This window comes from Homo sapiens, chromosome 11, assembly GCF_000001405.40.
Source record: "Homo sapiens chromosome 11, GRCh38.p14 Primary Assembly".
NCBI classification, from domain to species: Eukaryota; Metazoa; Chordata; class Mammalia; order Primates; family Hominidae; genus Homo; species Homo sapiens.
Genome location: NC_000011.10, coordinates 72,983,665 through 73,006,586, shown reverse-complemented (window position 1 = coordinate 73,006,586; position 22,922 = coordinate 72,983,665). Strand labels below are relative to the sequence as shown.

At 37.9% G+C, this 22,922-nt stretch overlaps 1 protein-coding gene across 5 annotated transcripts in view, besides 1 other annotated feature; it reads left to right on the top strand.

Annotated features, from left to right (window-relative positions):
• Positions 1–22,922, top strand: part of FCHSD2 (FCH and double SH3 domains 2) — a 305,574-nt gene that overhangs the window by 135,732 nt on the left and 146,920 nt on the right. For all 5 annotated transcript variants that reach the window (NM_014824.3, XM_011545409.2, XM_011545410.3 and 2 more), the window contains 4 exons: positions 5,453–5,597; positions 17,490–17,623; positions 21,471–21,525; positions 22,371–22,499. In NM_014824.3, the coding sequence (NP_055639.2) occupies positions 5,453–5,597; positions 17,490–17,623; positions 21,471–21,525; positions 22,371–22,499 (463 nt within the window). The remainder of the gene's footprint in view (positions 1–5,452; positions 5,598–17,489; positions 17,624–21,470; positions 21,526–22,370; positions 22,500–22,922) is intronic.
• Positions 20,676–20,876: a silencer, noted in NCBI's record as "peak1347 fragment used in MPRA reporter construct". NCBI's record gives its function as "represses an SCP1 promoter by STARR-seq MPRAs in K562 erythroleukemia cells {active_cell/tissue: K562}" and the evidence as "EXISTENCE:reporter gene assay evidence [ECO:0000049][PMID:32103011]".

Genomic DNA, 22,922 nt, shown 5'->3' with positions numbered 1-22,922 from the left:
GACTGTTGCAGTAATCTAGGCATAAGGTGAGGGTGGCTCAAAGCGGGGTAGTCACAGTGGAGGAGACTGGCAGTAATTAAATTCCATGGTATTTTTTAAGTCTAGCAAACAGGATTTCTTGATGGAGCAGATATGATAGACAAATGAGGAATCAATGATGATTCCAGGGCTTTGGGTTTGAGCCAACTACTAGAAGGTTTGAGTTGCTGTCAGTGAGATGGAATAGATAGATTGCCAGAACAGATTTTAGGGAAATCAAGAATTTAGTTTTGTACATGTTAGGTGTAAAGGTGCCTACTAAATATCCAAGTTGGATATGTTGAACAGGCAGTTAGGGTTTAGGGAAGGTGTCTGGGCAGGAATTAAAAATTCAGGAATTGGGCTGAGAGTAGTGGTTCATGTATGTAATCCCAGAACTTTAGGAGGCTAAGGCAGGAGGATGGCTCAAAGCCAGGAGTTCAAGATGCAGATTAAGCAACAAAGTGAGATACTATTTTTATTTAAAAAAAAAAATAGCCACATGCAGTGGCTCATGCCTGTAGGCCCAGTTACTTGGGAGGCTGAGGCGGGAGGACCACTTGAGTCCAGGGGTTCGAGGCTGTAGTAAGCTGTGATCATGCCATGCACTCCAGCCTGAGCAACAGAACAAGACCCTGCCTCTTTAAAAAAAAAAAAAAAAAAAAAGTTTAGGAATAGTCAGGATATTGATACTCTTTAAAGCCATGAGACCGGATGGCTTTAAAACCATCTGTAGAATGAGATCATCTAAAGAGTGAATGTAGGCCTGGTGCAGTGGCTCACACCTGAAATTCTAGCACTTTGGAGGCTGAGGTAGGAGGATTGCTTGAGCCCAGGCGTTTGAGGCTACAGTCAGCTATGACTGTGCCACTGCACTACCACCTGAGTGGCAGAGCAAGACCTTATCTCAAAAAAGAAATAATAAAAATAAAATAAAAATTTAAAAACAATTTTCAACAGAGTGAATGTAGTTAGAGAAGAGAAGAAGCCTGGGGTCTGACTTGAGGGCACTCCAGTATTTATGGGACAGTGAGATGAAGCGGAACCGGCAAAGGAGACTAAAGAATGGCTGGTGAGGTGGGAGTAGACCAAGGGAGAGTGATGTCCTGGAAGCCAAGTGAAGAAAACATTTCAAGAAGGATAAACTAGGTCAGTGTTGCTGATAGGTCGAGTAATAGAATCAAGACTTGAACTATTTGGACTAGCCATAGGAAGATCTTTGATGACTTTGGCAAGCAATTTCAGAAGAGTGGTAGACACTAAAGTCTGATTTGGATAGAATTGAGAGACCCAGATGAGAGAAAGTAGAAACAGTAATTTTAGACAATTCTTTCAAGGAGTTTTTCTATAAAAGAGAGCAGACATTAGGGTGGCAGCTGGTGAGAAATGGAGGTTTGATGGAGATTTTTCAAATGGAGATATTATAGCATGTTTGCTCATAAGAATGCTCCAGTAGAGATGGAAAAACTGACATTGTAGATTTTTGAATTGATATTCTTGAGTGAGAGGTTGTGTAACATAGTGTAAATGTGAGGAGTTGGCCTTCAGAGCACAGGTAGTTCGTGCAAGTAATAGGAGGATTGGCATAATGTATGGGTGCAGAGACAAGGAGTTTGGCAAATGTGGTGGGAACATGTGGACATTGCCTTCTGATAGTGCCACTGTTGGCTGAAAGTGTGGTCGTATTAGAGGTTTGAGAAGAGAGAACTTGGGAAATAATTGTGTAGAAGGGTGGGTGAAGAATGGATTAAGGAAATGTAGTACCCTTGCTGGGTAGCACTAAGGGGTTACTAGCATTTATTTGACATCAATTTAAAATGCTACCAGGCAACGTAATTATCTTTTTCTCCAGCCACATTCTGCCATATACTTTGATGTGATGTAAACAGTTTTAGATTTAACCAAGGTAGGAGCTTGTAGGTTATAAAGGTGGAAAGAGAAAGAGGCAAGGGTAAAAAGGGCATACATAAGGGAGTGATTATAAGGATAGACCATGAAACCTAAGCTGGGTAATGAACTGAAAAGGGAGATTATGAGAGGGGCAAGAGACAATGGAAAGGGGGTAGGACCAAATGGATTGTGGGTTCTTATAGGACTGAGTAACTGTTAGAGTCAGAATTCTAAAGGGTTTGAGTAGAATCAGGAGGTGTTAGTCAGAAATCAGAAGATTGAACTTGGGATGGGAGCAAAGCAGTAGTTATTAGTAATGGCAGAATCTAGGTTATGACCATGGAGGTGCTATTTCCTGGTGAGTAGCCTTAGAAAAATTTCACAACCTTCTGAGCCTCAATTTTCTCCTCTGTAAAATGGGAATAATACCTATCTTACAGAATTACGATGAGGATTAAATGATATGATAAATGTAAAATACATAACGTAGTACTTACCATGTGATATGTAGAATGGCAAAGTACCGTATATGCTTGATATCCTTTTTTTTTTTTTTTTTTTTTTTTTTTGGAGTTGGAGTCTTACTCTCTTGCCCAGGCCGGAGTGCAGTGGCACTATCTCGGCTCACTGCAACCTCCGCCTTCCAGTTCAAGCGAGTCTCCTGCCTCAGTCTCCTGAGTAGCTGGTGGGGTTACAGGTGCCAGCCACAACGCCTGGCTAATTTTTGTATTTTCAGTAGAGACGGGATTTCACCGTGTTGGCCAGGCTGGTCACGAACTCCTGACCTCAGGCAGTCTGCCCACCTTGGCCTCCCAGAGTGCTGGGATTACAGGCTTGAGCCACCACGCTGGCTGATACTTTTCTTATCCTTCACAATTGCTTCATATGAAACCTGGTGAAATAAAATTTTTACGCCTGTAATCCCAGCACTTTGGGAGGCCGAGGCGGGCGGATCACGAGGTCAGGAGATCGAGACCATCCCGGCTAAAACGGTGAAACCCCGTCTCTACTAAAAATACAAAAAATTAGCCGGGCGTAGTGGCGGGCGCCTGTAGTCCCAGCTACTTGGGAGGCTGAGGCAGGAGAATGGCGTGAACCCGGGAGGTGGAGCTTGCAGTGAGCCGAGATCCCGCCACTGCACTCCAGCCTGGGCGACAGAGCAAGACTCCGTCTCAAAAAAAAAAAAAAAATCACTCTATGACCTATGATTATTTTTCCTTAATTGGAATGAAAAACACCACTACCATTGGGAGTACCACTATTATGTTAACAAGAAGTGCTTCTATTTGTTACAATTCTGCTGCTGTTACTATGTATTCATTTAAAAGAATCTGTGTATCATGAATTTTCATATCATTTGCATTTAATTTTTAAAATAGCCCTGTGAGGTAAGTGGTGCAGGTATTTTTGTTATTTCTCCATTTGCCAGTTGAGGAAATGAAAGTATAGTGAAGTGTGCTACTTATGATTATTTTGTTAAAACTAGAACTTGAACTTAGGTCTTCTGACTGGTGACTGAATTCTGTGCTTTTCATGGTATATCAGTGTTCAGGATATGTTTCCCTGCTATAAATCTGCTAAACTCTAAAGGTCTCTTTTTAAACTATCTTTTTAATGAAAGGATTTGTCTTTTTATTGTACAGTCTTCATAGTTAATACATTCATCCATTCATTTATTTACTCCTTCAACATATATTATTGTAACCATTCTTTATTTGCTAGGTCCTTGCAATAGCAAGACATACACCCCTGCCTTCATGGAGCTTTCACTATAGTGAGAGGGACAGATGTTAATAAACAATTACATTAAAATATTTATAATTAAAAGAAAAGTGCTGGAACCAAGAACAACTAACAAAGAATAACTTGATTGAGTTTGGGGGTTGGCTTGGTGGTGACGGTGAAAGACTTCCCAAAGGAAGTTACATTTAAACTGAGACTGGAAGGGCAAACAGCTATTAACTAGGAGAAGGGATAAAGAGAAGAGGGTGTTACACTGAGAGAAGAACATGGATGAAGGGTATCTCCCTTCCTCTCTTTCTTCCTATCACAATTTATAATGGTTCTTTTTCATTTTTTTTATTATTTTAAAATGTATTTTAAGTATAAATTAATAGTTACAAATCATAGTACTGAATTTTTCTCTCAGTACATTCTTCAAGAAAATCAATTGTTGGGACTGCTTAGGAGGGAGAGCCTGTGGTGAGTTTACATTGCAAGTTCCATTGGTTGTCATGCAGTGAGGCCATGGAGAGCATTCGTTTTGCTGCTCTTAACTTCATCAGTGCTTTTATGCTGACAGTTTTTGCTGGTGCAACACATTGAATCTTTCCAAAGGAATAGTGATACACCTCTGCCTAAATAATGACTATTTCCATCTAAACCGATTCATCTGGTATATTACATGAACAAATTTGTAAGACTCCATGGTTGAAAACCATAGTTTATCAAGTTTTTTCCTTTACTTCTAACTAAGATAGGGACCCAGGCAATTTTTCTTTTTCTTGCTTCTACACTGTCATCTGTTGACCACAGTGAGCATTCTGTATAGCATTTAGTCCCACATGTTGCTGTGGTTGAAAATCGATATGGATTTCCCACAAAAGGGAAATCTCAGGAGATGAATATTATAATCTATCAGAATTTCACTTTAAGGACTCATTTTAAAAAATAAAGCATTGCCATTGTTATAAATTATCGATTGTGTTTATAAATAGTGTAGGAGCATGCTAGAATTGACTAAGGCATTTAGCAAGTAGGAAAGAAGGTTGAAGAGGAAGTTGGCTAGAAAAAGCAAAGGATTAATAATTCTTTGACTTGACTGAGATTGCTGAGCACATTTATCAAGCAAAGGTGATGGCACTTGCTTGGAATGAATCCAAAGCACAGTGTGATGCTAAGCATTGTTGTAACAGGGAGACAGATGTAGAGCCACACTATTATAGATTTCTTTTGTCAGACAAAATAGACTTTGCAAGCACATCAACAGTTGTTCATGATATATTTTTCCAGCCGCGTCAGTTTATATAAGAGTAAAATGATGTCGTTGAAAGACAATGTACTATATATACAGGTACCCAATCTTCGTCTTGTATCTCAGTAGTGCCACCTTCTTCTTATATGACCTAAAGTGATACTCTAAAATCTCTCTGGGCCTCAGTTACCTTATTACTAAAATTAGGAAAATAACTTAATGAAGTAATAAAACTTGATATTCATAATTATGGCCCTGTGACAGCAAAAGACTTGGAGAGTCTGAAATATTCACTAATTTTTATAGTGTTAGCTTTGTAATTCTTGTAGCACTTTACTCCATTATTAAGAATAACTAATGAATCAGAACTCCCTATTGCTGAGCTATAAGAAGAATAGAGTATATGCCATGTTGCTTGTTATGTGTGCTGACATATTGCCTATAAGCCATTATAAATACATTAAAGAAGACATTCATTTATTCTGTCAGTGCTGCCCTGTGAGCAAAAGGTTAGCCAACTTTTTCTTCCTGTTCCCTGCCTAATGCTTTTCTATCCCTCTTTGAATTTAGGAGCATGTATCCCGTTTGGAAATCTTTTCTCGAGGGAACAATGCAGGTAGCCCAGTCTCGGATGAATATATGTGAAAACTATAAAAACTTCATTTCTGAGCCTGCAAGGACAGTGAGAAGCTTAAAAGAACAGCAACTAAAAAGGGTATTGTTTTTATTTCTGTTCTTATATGCATTTTAATATCCCAGTGCTACATTTATAATCTGCAAGGTTATGCTAAATTTTATTTAAAACTATATGGTCCCATATGTTTCTGGTTGACATTTTACTAGGATTTTCTGATTTCAACATGTTCTCATTAAGTACTATGTTTTATTAACTGCTAAAAATGAATGTAATTCAAATCCATGGACGTTCAAAAAGCTCAGTAAATACTTTTTAGTAATACCGCTTTTCGGCATAATTCAAGTACATAGATCTACTTAGTTTCACAATATCGGTATAGTTTGATGTGTATTAGAATAGTTACAAGGTTATTAATCCCACTAGTTCTTGAAAAAAGTTTACATTAATTTGTCTTACTTTCAACTTGACCCATTTTGTATAATAATTTAAAGGAAATTAACACATTTTGACTAAACATAAAAAACTTACTTTAAAAAACCTGATGGACTCTAAACTTTAATTATATGGGTTACACATGAGTAAATGTTTTCAAATGGACATATTTTATTACACAGAAATAAAAAATTCATAGGAAAATGGCATTGCTTAATGTGACTTTTTAGAAAAGTTGGCTGTTGAAAATAGGTGATTGAATTGTGTTCTTTTGGAAATAGAGTTACAAAAATTGAGATTATCATTATACCTAATAAGTAATTAAAATTTTCTTGTGGAAGTATTAATACTTTAGAAAATATTAAAGTAAAAGAAAGAAAATATTAAAGTAATTATTTCGGGAAATAATATTTTAGAAGCCATCCAGTGTTTTGATTCTAATTGTCATTAGGATTTTCAGAACATTTTTACAAACACCTTTCCCACCAAAAACCCCCCAATTTTCCGTTTGCCAAAGATGATTCTAGTAGCATGAAATCAATATGTTAGATGTATATGTGTCTTTATGTAAAATGTTAATTTCTTTAGAGCACTCACCTAATATTAGTCAGTTAAACATATTTGTATAAGAATGCCTGTGTTTTATCTTTGCCAAAAAATATCTCTTTCAAAACAAACATAGTGAGTAACCTATGTGATCACTGGCCAGTGATTTTGAGTTGGAAGAAAGTGTGTGTGTGTGTGTGTTTGTGTGTGTGTGTGTGTGTGTCTGATTGTGCAGAAAGAGGGTGTAAGGTAGGGGCAGAGAATTAATACTAGTATAACTTCCCAACCAGGAGGAAATACTGCATTTCAAATTTCCAGTGCATTCATCAGATCTAATTGAATTACTGCCACCTTACTCAATATCAGAATATTTAGAGAGTTTAACTACCTCTGGTGCTTTTCTCTTCCATTGATGAAGTAATCTCAGACCTGAATTTAACTGACATTCCTGGGCAAAGAATGTTTGATAAGGCCGGGTGTGGTGGCTCACGCCTGTAATCCCAGCACTTTGGATGGCCAAGCCGGGTGGATCACCTGAGGTCAGGAATTCAAGACCAGCCTGACCAATATGGTGAAACCCCATCTCTACTAAAAATACAAAAATTAGCCAGGTGTGGTGGCGTGCACCTGTAGTTCCAGCTACTCGGGAGGCTGAGACAGGAGAATTGCTTGAACCCGGGAGGTGGAGATTGCAGTGAGCTGAGATCGTGCCACTGCCCTCCAGCCTGGGTGACAGAGTGAGACTCTATCTCAAAAAAAAAAAAAAAAAAAAAAGAATCTTTGGTAAGATTCAACAAATGCTCATGTCTGTGAATTAACTTGTTTTATATTATTGCTGATGATCTATGTTACATCTAAGCAATTGTTAAATATTCAGTACATATTGGGTATACCTGTCAGGACTCTGAGATAGCAAATGAAAGAAACCTCCTTCAAACTGCTTTAAGCCAAGAAGGGAATGTATCTGCTTGTATAACTGAAAATTGAAGGACTTCAAGCATGGGTGGATCTAGGGGTTCAAATGATGGTATTAGAATTCAGACTTTCTTTCCATCCATTAGCTCTGCTTTTCTGAATGGCTTCACTCACTAACAACTCTCTCCACATGGTGACCCCCAATGTGCCAGATTTATAAATCTTAAAGGTAGCAATCCCAGATTTTTCATTTTCCCAAATGACCAGAATTGTTTTGCATAGCAGCTGCATCATTTGGCATTCCCACCAACAGTGCACAAGGGCTCCAATTTCTCTACAGCCTTGCCAACATCTGTTATCCTTTTAAAGAATAATAGCCACCTAACAGGTGTGAGGTAATTAATATTTTATTGTGGCTTTGATCTGTATTTCACTGATGGTTGGTGATATTAAGCAATCTAATATTTTTTATTATCAATTTTTTCCTCCACTATTAGCTTCTTACTTTTTAAATCCTATATTCTTTTAGTAATTACCTTAGAGATTATAATATCCCTCCCTAACTTATTACATTACCTTGAATCATTAATCTTACTATTCCCCAATCCTTGTTCCAAATTAACTTTTTTTTTTTGAGACAGAGTCTCGCTCTGTCACCCAGGCTGGAGTGCAGTGGCATGATCTCGCTCACAGCAACCTCTGCCTCTTGGGCTCAGGTGATCCTCCCACCCCAGTCTCCTGAGTGGCTGGGATTACAGGCGTGTGCCACCACACCTGGCTAATTTTATTGTATTTTTAGTAGAGACAGGGTTTCACCATGTTGGCCAGGCTGGTCCTGAACTCCTGACCTCAAGTGATCTGCCTGCCTCAGCCTCCAAAAGTGCGGGGATTACAGGCATGAGCCACCTCGCCTGGTCCAAATTAACTTACTACAATCTACCTTGAATTAGTATTTTACTACCTCATGAACAATATAAAAATCTTCTAGCAAGATAATTCCATTTAACTCTCATTTATGACTTTTTGGCTGTTAGACCTTTTGACTCTGTTCATGTCTTTTCTACTTTTTCAGCATTTTGTTTTCCACCCTTTTTTCTCTGTGTACTTCAATCTGAATATTTAACAAGTTTATTAATATACTGTTCTACTATTTTGAATCTGCTTTAAAAACTCATCTTTTGGGGACGGGAGTGGTAGTTCACACCTGTAATTTCAGCACTTTGGGAGGCCAAGGTGGAAAGATCATTTCAGTCCAAGATCAGCCTGGCCAACATGGTGAAATCCCGTCTCTACAAAAAATGTAAAAATTAGCCAGGTGTGGTGGTTCATGCCTGCAGTCCCAGCTACTTGGGAGGTTGAGGCAGGAGGATCACTTGAGCACAGGAGGTAGAGATTGCAGGAAGTCGAGATCGTGCCACTGCACTCCAGCCTGGATGACAGAGGGAGACCCTTTCTCAAAACAAAACAAAGAAAACCTCATATTTTGGAATCTTAATGTACTTTTCAGTTCCAGGATTTTTATTTGACTTTTAAATACTACATTCCATATTTCTGGTACAGTTCTCCATGTTTTTCCTTTATCCTCTTAAACATGTTACTACTGATCTCTATTATATAATTTCACTATCTGAATTACTGTAGGTCTCTTTTAACCGCCTGCGGTTTTTCTTGATTTTTGGTTATTTGGGTCTTCTGTTTGATTATGACTCACAATATTGGACATTGTGGATAAAAACTGTAGAGGCTCTGGGAAGATGTTATTTCCAAAGAGGGTTAAGCTTTCTTCTGGCAAGTGGATAGAATGCTATTAGATCACCTTGATTCTGTTAGGATCTCTGGTTTTAGGCTTTTTAGGGCTATTCTGTTTCACTTACTCCTAGAGTTTTAACTGAAAATATAGGGTGCTTACCAAGACCCTTCTAATTTGACAAGACTTGAACTCTAACCTTTGTCTTCTCAACATCGTGTAGCTGCTCTGATGCTCTGATCTCTGCTCACTCTTTGGCCTCTCGGCTATAGTTCTCTACTGGATTTCTTGGCATTTTACCCAACACCTGCTTTTTAGAAGTCATCTGTTAACCCAAGGGGAAATTGCATACAGATTTTTGGACTTGCTTTTCTGCAGTACCCCTCTTTCTAGACCCTTACCTCTCAAGTTCCTGTTCTTTTGGCATCCCTAAACTCCAACCTCTGTCTCCCCAGTCTCGTAAAAATGCCACTTTCTGTTTCTGTCCTATTTCTTTATACCATGATTCAACAAATGCCCTAAGGAAAAACATTAAGTTGAATTTAAGACTTACCTTGGTGTATTCCTCTTTTCCTGGGTGTCTTAGTCCTTTAAGTCCAGTGTGTGGTGGTGGTCTTTAATGCTGGCAGTTTTTTAAAAATGTATTTTGTTCAACTTTTACACTTTCCAGTCTAGAGAAAGGTAGTCTGATCCAAGTTGTTCTGTCATGATCAGAACCAATCTGACTTAAAATTTTTCCTCTACAACATTTTAAAGTTCATGTTTTTTTAAAGATTTTCTCTAATTTGACTATTTTCTTTTATAATGCTTGGAAGATAAACACAATTGTATTACAATTATGCAGAGCCCCAGTTTATAATGAGGATTATGAGAATTATTACATTTTTCAAAATTATTTTCTGTATGCTGACATTTGCTTAAAAATTAGAATGAGAGCTACAATAACTTAAGGCTTTTTGCCATTCTTATGTTTACTTAACCATACTTTTGTCCGTATCTTTCACATTTATACTAGAGTTTACTTACCATCCTTGAAATATTGTGGTTCACATTTGTATAACACTTTAGAGTTTGCAAACTGCTGCCATATCCATTATAGTCACATTTGATTTTTACACAACCCTGATAGTATTTAAGTATTATTATTTTACAAATGATAAAACTAAAGCTAAAAATGTTAAAGAGACTTAGGTAGTAAATAACAGAGTGGGAACTTGAATATACTACTACTTCCTAATTCCAAATCCTGTACAATGCTTTTAAAACAAAGCTTAATATTGAAACAGGTTTATAGAAAAATACATGTAAATGCCTTCACCATAGTAGACTACTTAATTCTCTTACTCCTTTTATCTTGCTCCTTTTATCCTCATTCTCCCAATTTCCTAATTAATTGTTCATGTTTCTACATAACCTTTATGTTTATTATTTTTTATTATTTTGTGAATTTTCCATTCTGCTTTCTTTAATTATACAACTGGGTTTGGACATTACCCTTAAGTCTACAGTAAAAATTAACTTTTTAAATTTTTTTCTTAGGATAAATTTCTAGGGCATTATTACTGGGTTAGAGAACCTAATCATTTGTAGGACTTCGATGTGTTGGCCCAGGTTACTTTTATTTGTATTCTTATATTCAAGTTATTAGCAAGTTTATTATTGTGTCTCTGTCATACTCAGAGACTATACTTTTAACTTCTTCCTTTTTTTTTTTTTTTTGAGACAGAATTTTTCTCTGCTCTGTCACCCCTGCTAGAGTGCAGTGGCATGAACACGGCTCACTGTGGCCTCAACCTCTTGGGCTCAAGTGATCCTTCCACCCCAGCCTCCCAAGTAGTTGGGACTACAGGTGCTTGCCACCACACCTGGCTGATTTTTGTACTTTTTTTTTAGAGATGAGGTTTCACCATGTTGCCCAGGGTGGTCTCGAACTCCAGGGCTCAAGATATCTGGCCGCCTCAGCCTCCCAAAGTGCTAAGATTACAGGTGTGAGCCACCGCACCTGGCCCAGTTTTTGGTTCTTAATATCAAAATTGTAGCCATGGAGCCTGCTTTTAGCTCTTCACACCTGCAAACACAGCATTATTAGAATGTTTAGCACTTCTTTATGGGAGTGTCAGGTTGTCATCTTGTCATTTATTAAACAAAAACTTTGTATTTGATAAGTACTATTACAATTTAGGGGGAAAACAGCTTTTCGTTCTGCAAGATAAAAGCTTACTTTTAGTTTATATGTAACAAAATACTATTCGGCGATAAAAAGGAATGAAGTACTGACACCTGCTACAACTTGAATGAACCCTAAAAATGTTTTGATAAGTGAAAGAAGTGAGAAACATAAGGCCACATATTATTTGATTCCATTTGTACTAAATATCCCAAAAAGGAACTCCATAGAGACAAAAATAGATTAATTGTTGTTGGAAGTGGGGAGAAATGGGGAGTGACAGCTAATGGATACAGAGTTTCTTTTTGGGGTAGGAAAATGTTTTGGAATTCAAGCAGAGTAATGGTTGAACAACCTTGTCACCACTGAATTGTATACTTTAAAAAGGTGAATTTTGTTGTATGTGAATTATATGTCAATTTTTTAAAAGCTTTTAAGATAAACTACATCTATAAGATACAGTTTGCACTATATCTTTTTTTTGTTTTGTTTTTTGAGATGGAGTCTCGCTCTGTCACCCAGGCTGGAGTGCAGTGGCATGATCTCGGCTCACTGCAAGCTCTACCTCCTGGGTTCAAGCCATTCTCCTGCCTCAGCCTCCCGAGTAGCTGGGACTACAGGCGCCCACCACCACACCCAGCTAATTTTTTTGTATTTTTAGTAGAGACGGGGTTTCACCGTGAGTTTACACTATATCTTAAAACATGGTCATCACAGAACTAGGGTACACACTTTAATGGGTTCCATAGTAAATGGTATCATCACATCCTTGCCGTGTGACTCAGAGTAAATTATTTAACATCTGAGTCTATTTTCTCATCTTAATGGGATCACTGCTACTACTACTACTGCTGCTGCTGCTACTACTACTACTACCTTTTTCATAGAGTCGTTTCAAGGACTAAATGTGATAATACCTGTAAAGTACGAAACATAGCACCTGTGCAGTGCCCACAAGGGGTCTTTTTAGAAGTAATAAGCATTCAGACTCCCTTGGCTCTCATAGGCCACACCTGACAAGAGGTTTACTGAGAAGGACAGAGTACAGGAAACACAATTTGCCAGTAGGGAAGCATCTAGCATTAATGGAAATAATTCTCCCACTATTGTATGTCTCGGTCCACATAGCTGACCAGTTATTCTGTTTGGTCCTCCAAGTGACAGGTCTAGGACAAGGGAGTGAGACACATTTGCAGAGCCAGCTTTAGCCCCTAAAGGAGACTAAAATTTTTTACAACAACTCTATAGACAGAGCTTCCAGTGTCCCTGTAAGGGACATGTCCGGATACACCGTACTCACAGAAGCCCAAAGCCTGGCTTTTCTATCCGATATTTATTTATTTATTTATTTTTATTATACTTTAAGTTTTAGGGTACATGTGCACAACGTGCAGGTTAGTTACATATGTATACAGTGCCATGTTGGTGTGCTGCACCCAGTAACTCGTCATTTAACATTAGGTATATCTCCAAATGCTATCCCTCCCCCCTCCCCTCACCCCACAACAGGCCCCAGTGTGTGATGTTCCCCTTCCTGTGTCCATGTGTTCTCATTGTTCAATTCCCACCTATGAGTGAGAACATGCGGTGTTTGGTTTTTTGTCCTTGCGATAGTCTGCTGAGAATGATGGTTTCCAGCTTCATCCATGTCCCTACAAAGGACATGAACTCATCATTTTTATGGCTGCATAGTATTCCATGGTGTATATGTGCCACATTTTCTTAATCCAGTCTATCATTGTTGGACATTTGGGTTGGTTCCAAGTCTTTCCTATTGTGAATAGTGCCACAATAAACATATGTGTGCATGTGTCTCTATAGCAGCATGATTTATAATCCTTTGGGTATATACCCAGTAATGGGATGGCTGGGTCAAATGGTATTTCTAGTTCTAGATCCCTGAGGAATCGCCACACTGACTTCCACAATGGTTGAACTAGTTTACATTCCCACCAACAGTGTAAAAGTGTTCCTATTTCTCCACATCCTCTCCAGCACCTGTTGTTTCCTGACTTTCTAATGATCGCCATTCTAACTGGTGTGAGATGGTATCTCATTGTGGTTTTGATTTGCATTTCTCTGATGGCCAGTGATGATGAGCATTTTTTCATGTGTCTGTTGGCTGCATAAATGTCTTCTTTTGAGAAGTGTCTGTTCATATCCTTTGCCCACTTTTTGATGGGGTTGTTTGTTTTTTTCTTGTAAATTTGTTTGAGTTCATTGTAGATTCTGGTTATTAGCCCTTTGTCAGATGAGTAGATTGCAAAAATGTTCTCCCATTCTGTAGGTTGCCTGTTCACTCTGATGGTAGTTCCTTTTGCTGTGCAGAAGCTCTTTAGTTTAATTAGATCCTATTTGTCAATTTTGGCTTTTGTTGCCATTGCTTTTCGTGTTTTAGACATGAAGTCCTTGCCTATGCCTGTGTCCTGAATGGTATTGCCTAGCTTTTCTTCTAGGGTTTTTATGGTTTTAGGTCTAACATTTAAGTCTTTAATCCATCTTGAATTAATTTTTGTATAAGGTGTAAGGAAGGGATCCAGTTTCAGCTTTCTACATATGGCTAGCCAGTATTCCCAGCACCATTTATTAAATAGGGAATCGTTTCCCCATTTCTTGTTTTTGTCAGGTTTGTCAAAGATCAGATAGTTGTAGATATGTGGCATTATTTCTGAGGGCTCTGTTCGGTTCCATTGGTCTATATCTCTGTTTTGGTACCAGTACCATGCTGTTTTGGTTACCGTAGCCTTGTAGTATAGTTTGAAGTCAGGTAGTGTGATGCCTGCAGCTTTGTTCTTTTGGCTTAGGATTGACTTGGCAATGCGGGCTCTTTTTTGGTTCCATATGAACTTTAGTCTTTTCCAATTCTGTGAAGAAAGTCATTGGTAGCTTGATGGGGATGGCATTGAATCTATAAATTACCTTGGGCAGTATGGTCATTTTCACGATATTGATTCTTTCTACCCATGAGCATGGAATGTTCTTCCATTCGTTTGTATCCTCTTTTATTTCATTGAGCAGTGGTTTGTAGTTCTCCTTGAAGAGGTCCTTCACATCCCTTGTAAGTTGGATTCCTAGGTATTTTATTCTCTTTGAAGCAGTTGTGAATGGGAGTTCACTCATGATTTGGCTCTCTGTTTGTCTGTTATTGGTGTATAAGAATGCTTGTGATTTTTTGCACATTGATTTTGTATCCTGAGACTTTGCTGAAGTTGCCTATCAGCTTAAGGAGATTTTGGGCTGAGACGATGGGGTTTTCTAAATAAACAATCATGTCATCTACAAACAGGGACAATTTGACTTCCTCTTTTCCTAATTGAATACCCTTTATTTCCTTCTCCTGCCTGATTGCCCTGGCCAGAACTTCCAACACTATGTTGAATAGGAGTGGTGAGAGAGGGCATCCCTGTCTTGTGCCAGTTTTCAAAGGGAGTGCTTCCAGGTTTTGCCCATTCAGTATGATATTGGCTGTGAGTTTGTCATAGATAGTTCTTATTATTTTGAGATACGTCCCATCAATACCTAATTTATTGAGAGTTTTTAGAATGAAGCGTTGTTGAATTTTGTCAAAGGCCTTTTCTACATCTATTGAGATAATCATATGGTTTTTGTCGTTGGTTCTGTTTATATGCTGGATTATGTTTATTGATTTGCGTATGTTGAACCAGCCTTGCATCCCAGGGATGAAGCCCACTTGATCAGCGTATGTTGAACCAGCCTTGCATCCCGGGGATGAAGCCCACTTGATCATGGTGGATAAGCTTTTGGTGTGCTGCTGGATTTGGTTTGCCAGTATTTTATTGAGGATTTTTGCATCGATGTTCATCAGGGATATTGGTCTAAAATTCTCTTTTTTTGTTGTGTCACTGCCAGGCTTTGGTATCAGGATGATGCTGGCCTCATAAAATGAGTTAGGGAGGATTCCCTCTTTTTCTATTGATTGGAATAGTTTCAGAAGGAATGGTACCAGCTCCTCCTTGTACCTCTGGTAGAATTCGGCTGTGAATCCATCTGGTCCTGGACTGTTTTTGGTTGGTAAGCTATTAATTGTTGCCTCAATTTCAGGGCCTGTTATTGGTCTATTCAGAGATTCAACTTCTTCCTGGTTTAGTCTTGGGAGGGTGTATGTGTCGAGGAATTTATCAGTTTCTTCTAGATTTTCTAGTTTATTTGCGTAGAGGTGTTTATAGTATTCTCTGATGGTAGTTTGTATTTCTGTGGGATTGGTGGTGATATCCCCTTTATCATTTTTTATTGCGTCTGTTTGATTCTTCTCTCTTTTCTTCTTTATTAGTCTTGCTAGTAGTCTATCAATTTTGTTGATCTTTTCAAAAAAACCAGCTCCTGGATTCATTGATTTTTGTGAAGGGTTTTTTTGTGTCTCTATTTCGTTCAGTTCTGTTCTGGTCTTAGTTATTTCTTGCCTTCTGCTAGCTTTTGAATGTGTTTGCTCTTGCTTCTCTAGTTCTTTGCCTTGTCATGTTAGGTTGTCAATTTTAGATCTTTCCTGCTTTCTCTTGTGGGCATTTAGTGCTATAAATTTCCCTGTACACACTGCTTTGAATGTGTCCCAGAGATTCTGGTATGTTGTGTCTTTGTTCTCATTGGTTTCAAAGAAAACATCTTTATTTCTGCCTTCATTTCATTATGTACCCAGTAGTCATTCAGGAGCAGGTTGTTCAGTTTGCATGTAGTTGAGTGGTTTTGAGTGAGTTTCTTAATCCTGAGTTCTAGTTTGATTGCACTGTGGTCTGAGAGACAGTTTTGTTGTAATTTCTGTTCTTCTGCATTTGCTGAGGAGTGCTTTACTTCCAACTATGTGGTCAGTTTTGGAATAAGTGCAGTGTGGTGCTGAGAAGAATGTATATTCTGTTGATTTGGGGTGGAGGGTTCCTATCAGATATTTATAGTTAATTTTTAGTTTATCCCAAATTGATGCAGTTTGCCTACCAGGGTTTGTAAGCAATGTTGCCTAATAACACAGCTGACATTGTGTCTTCTCATCAGGTTTCTATTGAAACACAGATCTAGAAAGTTAAGCAAAGGCCCAGTTTCGTGCAGAGGGGAAAAGTTTTGTTTTATTTTGTGTTTTTTTAACCTTTTCCTTCACAGCCTAACACTTATTAAGTGCTTAATAAATATGAGTGGTTATTTTGCTTTTATCTGTCCATGCAGAATCTTCTAGATGTCTCATCCCCTGTAGTCCTTTCTTAACACCTAACAGCTTCTGGGAAAGTCTAGCCTGTATGTCATATGGTTAAGTTTATTCTTGTTTTATCCTCATTCTTCTGATGTCCTTGCCCTCCTCCACACTATTCACCCTTGCACAATAGTCCTTCACCAGTGTCTCCTCCTGCTTTGCTGAGCTTTTGCCAGTCTCCACCAGTGCTATTTCAGGCTTAGAAGTTTTTAGATGTAACTGCTCTAAGCTGGTCTCAGGCTGGTGAAACTTCTAATTGGTTTGTTTCAAAGTGGGGTCAATCTCCTTTGGATACTCAGAAAGGTCCTGAGGCAGTGTTGCTTGGCCCCGGTGTGTTATAAGAGTTAATTGATTAAACATTGTTTTAGTTGTTATGTCCATCCCTTCTCCTCGAATGTATATGTGTATCCACGGAGTTGGGCAGGGGATGGTTTTGAGTAATAATTGTTATGTGGTACCCAGGTTTCGTGCTTCTCTTGTTCACCTTGGACTTACCAAGTCAGACTACTCAGATTTCACTCCCTCTTGTCTAAGGGGTGAATTCTTCAGTACCCTTTGCACTGTCGGTTACCCAAACATAAAGAGAGACTTTGTTAAGATTATGGGGAAATACAGAATTGCCTTATTCTTTTGATTTTATTATCATGATATCTCCAACAGTGAGAACATTTTTCATAGTTGCTCTTCCATGTCTTACCTTAACGTCAGTCATCAGCAGCACTCGGGTTATTTCTCAATGTATGGTTGTTAGGCAAACTGTGACACTGTTTGATGTGTAGTACTTGAGATGGAAATACCAGGATTTTAATTCACAGGATTTTAATCTGCAATTTGAAGGACACTGAACGTACTGACTTTTCCCCTGGATTTCCATCCTGAAGGCATAGTGTATAGTCCTTAGGATGAAGTCATTTTCTGTAAGCCTGAAAACTAAAATCATAATGATTGTACTTTTGTATTTTACAGTGTGTGGACCAGTTGACAAAGATCCAAACTGAATTACAAGAGACAGTGAAAGATTTAGCTAAAGGCAAAAAGAAATACTTTGAGACTGAACAGATGGCTCATGCAGTACGAGAGAAAGCTGACATCGAGGCAAAGTATGTGTTTTAACATTTCTGAGAAAATTATTATGCAAATAAATGTTATTGTTGCTAATAGTTTGTTCTCTATTAGTAGTGAGCATGGACCCATTCTCAGGTAGTGGTGGTTTCATTTGACCTACATGTGTTATATACTTTAGGTCACATTTTTTTAATTGGCTGATTTTTATCTGAATTAATATAGCAAAATGGGAATATTAGATTAGTCAGTTTTTCACATTAAATTGAATTTTGAAAAAGAAGGTAAATGAACATTGTATTTACAGACTTGAAAGCTTATCAAAAGCCTGAAGTCACTGCTATGGTGTCTGAATATCAGGGTTTAAGAGCCTCATTTTTCTCATGCTGGATTCTCAATCAGTTGTAGTTGGAAATTCCTGTGATCCTCAGGATGCCACTGAAGGTCCATGAACACATCAAGTGAACAAAAGCACTGACCTCCATGTAGAAACCCTGCCCCAGGCACTGTTTTTTTCTTTTACACAAAAATCTAGTGTATATATACATAATTTTTCATGTATGCTTTAGCAATTGTATGAATTCAATATATGTGAATTATAAGACCTTTTTTTAAGAATAAGTAGGAAAAGAAGGAACTGGCAACTGGTAATAGAAGGTGATATAAAGCAAGCAATATAATAGAGATTTTTGCAGTGACAATTTGAGGAAAGATAAAAAGTTGATGAGAAAAAGCATGTTGTATAACTGGACTCTGAAGACATCTGTGAGAAGGAGAGCTGAGACTCAGGGTCAGTGTGCTGACTGATGCAAAATCTAGGAGTCTGAACTCCTAATCATAATATCAGAAAGGCTTTGAACACCTGTACAAACAGACCAGTAAGGAGGGGGCTATCTTTCTAATACAGTTTTTATTCACAAGAAATGTAAGCAACCTTATAAGCAACTTGTGAAAATTCAGGGGCTCCGCGGTTTATCAAGGGCTGGTAAGTGAGTATTCATGAAGGACTTGATGTTACAGGAAAACACATTTAATATTTCTCTAATTTGTTTTATTGTATTTATTGTTTTATTGTTTGAACCTACAAATATTTCCTGTACTTTTATAGAGTCAGTGAACCCATCTTCTCAATAAGACCTGAAGTTTTTAGATTAGATGTCCATTGGGAATATACTGTCATAGTCGTTTTTAGAAACTTGTTTTCTTAAACTTTCAGAGATCCTAGAACAGAGAATTGACAGATTTGTAAAGCATGTATAAACAAATAATTTAGCCACAGCCCACAGGATGAACATGAGCACAGTGGAGGGGCGTTTCTGAGAAGTGGGGATTTGATAGGGTCTGATTCACAGAGCTGATCACAAGGAATTGCCTTCTAACATGACCCAAATTCAGAGGGGATACAGCAAGCTAGACATATTAATATTAACTTTTCAACTATAGAGTAAGGAATGCCACTTTATCTTCATTTATTCGCAGTTTGTTGAATACTTTATATTGGATATGGTGAGTACAGAGATGAGTAAGGTAAGCTTTGTGCCCTCAAGGAATTTAAGGCCTAGAATTAGAAACTCAAAGAAATCAAGTGCCTAAAGTCACTTAATATTAACTAATAACTTACTTGCAGTAGTAATGTGAAAACACTTTTAGGAAAGCCTAGAAAATATAGAGGTTAATTTTGCCTAATGATAAATGAAAGCTTTATAGAAGAAGTGATGTTTGGATAGAATCTTGAGGAATGAGTATAAATTTTCTAAGTAGAGATAAGGAGGAAGATCAGGAAGGGGAAGTTAAACTGTACTACCTATAGTTTTTATAGATGATTTGATAGATGGTGTGGAGATGCACACATTAGGAGAGACCATAGAAGGAAGAGGGATACAATTTGAAGGAGATGATGAATTTCATTTTGGATATGTTTATTCTGAAGAGCCTGGGAAACACTGGGGTGAATATGTTTGGAAGGTAGTCAAATATCTGGCACTTAAATGAGAATTTGGGCCTCAAGATCTCGCTTTGAGGGTCAGTTGCCTATCAGATGGTAGTTACATAGTATATAGAATAGATGAGAAGTTGAGTTTGGAACCCCAAGGAACATTAATTTTGAAGGGTAGGTGGTAAAGAGTAGCACGCGGTATAGTTCATTATTTGTGTAGTGTTTGGGTGTAAAAATCCTGCCTTATTTTTTCTAGATTGAAATGTTTGAGAACAGGTACTATTTTATTCTATCTATCACTAATACCTACCTTAATACTACACAAGAAGTATATTAGGATTAGGAAATAAAGCAGAAGCCAGAAATTTAAAACCTTATATTGGAAGATCTACATGCAACTCAGCCTATTTGGGTAATGACTGTAAAAAAAGGAGAACTGGGAATATCCCCAAACACAGTCTTATTCTGAAAAGGCTTTCTTAGAGATTTGAGTTTGTGGCCTTTACTTTTCTAGATAAAATAAACAGGAATATGATTAATAAAAGTAAAATAATTGGGGCCGGGCACGGTGGCTCACGCCTGTAATCCCAGCACTTTGGGAGGCCGAGGCGGGTGGATTACAAGGTCAGGAGATTGAGACCATCCTGGCTAACATGGTGAAACCCCGTCTCTACTAAAAATACAAAAAATTAGCTGGGCGTGGTGGCAGGCGCCTGTAGTCCCAGCTACTCGGGAGGCTGAGGCAGGAGAATGGCATGAACCCAGGAGGCAGAGGTTGCAGTGAGCAGAGATCACGCCACTGCACTCCGACCTGGGCAACAGAGCGAGACTCCGTCTCTAAATAAATAAATAAAATAAAGTAATTATGAAATATGACTATGACAAGGTAAAAAATAACAGGAATCTTTTAAACCCAATTTTTTTAACAATGGGGAAGTAGTTGGGCTGCATATGTGTTCATCCCTGAATGTTTTCTCTTGTTAGAAAAATAAGAGGCTGCTTTTCCTATCCTCTTCACACTGGCTTTGCAAAGACTAACTGCTCCATCATCCAGTCCCAAACTGGCCAGCAACTTTACTTCATGAGGCACAGCTGCCAACACATGTATTGAATTCTCTCATGGAAATCACCCTGACACTGAAGTCAGGACAAACATTGCAGCTTTAAAAAAAAAATCACTGGTCCTGGGAGTGTTGCTTGTTCCCTAGCATTTGTCTGTTGACTTTCTCCATATGGTTATCTGCAGCTGTTTGGGTAAAATCAACATGTTTGTACTACCTATTGTTAGATTATGGTTACTCTCCCAAACTGAAAAAGGATCAAGGGAAATAAGAACCCAAGAGTGGGAGAAGATTACATCATACAGGGCAGAGTCCCAGGACTTTCTCAGTAAGTTCAGAATACCCCCTTAGAGCAGAGGAGGCACACAGGCAGGTACCCAAACAAGAAGTACTTTTAATGGTGGAAATAATAGAAGTAAGGACTTCATAGAGCCTATTGTTAGAGTCTTTCACACACAGCCCTGAAAGTTTGCTGACGCTTGCCTCCATAGGTTGATTGTCCCTGGGTCTCTCTAACCTTTGCAGGAACTAAAGTGTATGAAGTTGTATGGTACTGAGAATAGTCTATAATTTGATGGCTCTTGTTTATTAGGAGACACCAATATATTTTGATTTTTTTTTGGTCAAGTTTTTTTTTTTTTTTTTTTGGTCATTCTGGATATTTGTCTTATATTAATCCCAGTATTTCCTGTTTTACCATGATAATAAATTCTTCCTGTAGTAAAATAAAGGAAAATAATCATTACTCTTGGTTTTCCATTTTTTCATTCTTTTTTAGAGCAGTATCTTCAAAAAAGATTATTTTTAAATTTTAATAATATATTTAGTAATTTTATTGTGATATAATTAGATGATTTTATTAAACATACTTTTCTATTTTTATTATAGATCTAAACTTAGTCTTTTTCAATCAAGAATCAGTTTACAGAAGGCAAGTGTAAAGGTAAGTTTTCAATAAGTGTATTTCACAACTGAGAAACCTCTTAGCTTGTAAAACAGAGAATTGGATCTTTGAGGGTGGAGGTGGATTATTTCTACCTTAGAGAAGCATTTTAAAGTCACTGACTCAGGGAGGAACTTTCCCTCCCAGTTCATGGGGGTTTTGCACCCAGCTGTCAACACCTTGGACACACTTGCTTCTCAAGACTGCATTAGGGATAAGTTTCTGGACCTTACCTGCTTAGGCAGCCTGTTGTCTTTAGCTCTTAGTCCAAGAGACTTAATCCGGGGGCTTTGGAAAGCTCTACAAAATCTATTTCGTTTAGATTTAGACCCCTGAGTGATATTCTGGGCCAGATGTGAGTGAGTTTTTCCTTCGGAAACTTCACACTGTGGAATGCCTGATTAAGTAAGCTTAGAGACCTGGCTGTGGCTGCCAGGCTTCAAACTAGCATGCAGTTCATCTGGCACATTAGGAGTGCTGATTTTTAAAAAACTGTTTTCTAACTCCACTAGATTTTACCCATACCTTTGAAGATAAGGTACTTATTTCAGAACCTTTATTTAGTCATTTGAATAAATGGGCAAAATATTTTTAAGTTATCTACAAAGCTTTAGAAGTATGTTAAGCAAATATTTGAAAATGCTCCTGCCCTGTATAACAGTTCTAGTCACTGTTTCATTCCTTAGTAGTGATGAATAATTTTTATATACGTATAAATGTTTTCCGCACGTGGTTACCTTTATTCTTGTTGGGGAGCCATTAATTGCAAACTAAGAGTAGGATTCCTATGTGTTTTGCAGTACAATATCAGTTTGCACTGATTATTTTATTTTGCTATGTTTTAGTTAAAAGCCCGGCGATCTGAGTGTAATTCCAAAGCTACCCACGCAAGGAATGATTATCTTCTTACCCTAGCGGCAGCAAATGCACATCAGGATCGCTACTATCAAACAGATTTAGTTAACATTATGAAGGTAATACAGCTTTCATATCTATGGTAATTTTACTTCATTGAAAACAAAAACAACTTAAGTTGGGTGTTGGGTTTATGGGATTGAATCTATAAAAGAGTAGCCAGGCTATGTTGCATCTCATTGGAATATACTTGTTATTGTTTGGATAGCATCTGTTTCAGATAATTTGGAATTAATTTTTAGTTAAGAAAATGTTTACAGACAAGTCACAGTAAAGGATTATATTATTCCCTAGGTGCGGCAAACATTTGTTATCTAGTGGTTATTGATGTAGAAGATACAAGAGTGATGTAAGAAATAAAATAATGACTCAAACTGGGAAACTACTTCTGAGCTATTTTATGAGACTCATGTCATGGTTTCAATAAATTATTGAAGCTAGGCAGAATCTTCAGGTATCTTCTGAATCATCGGAGAAAGACA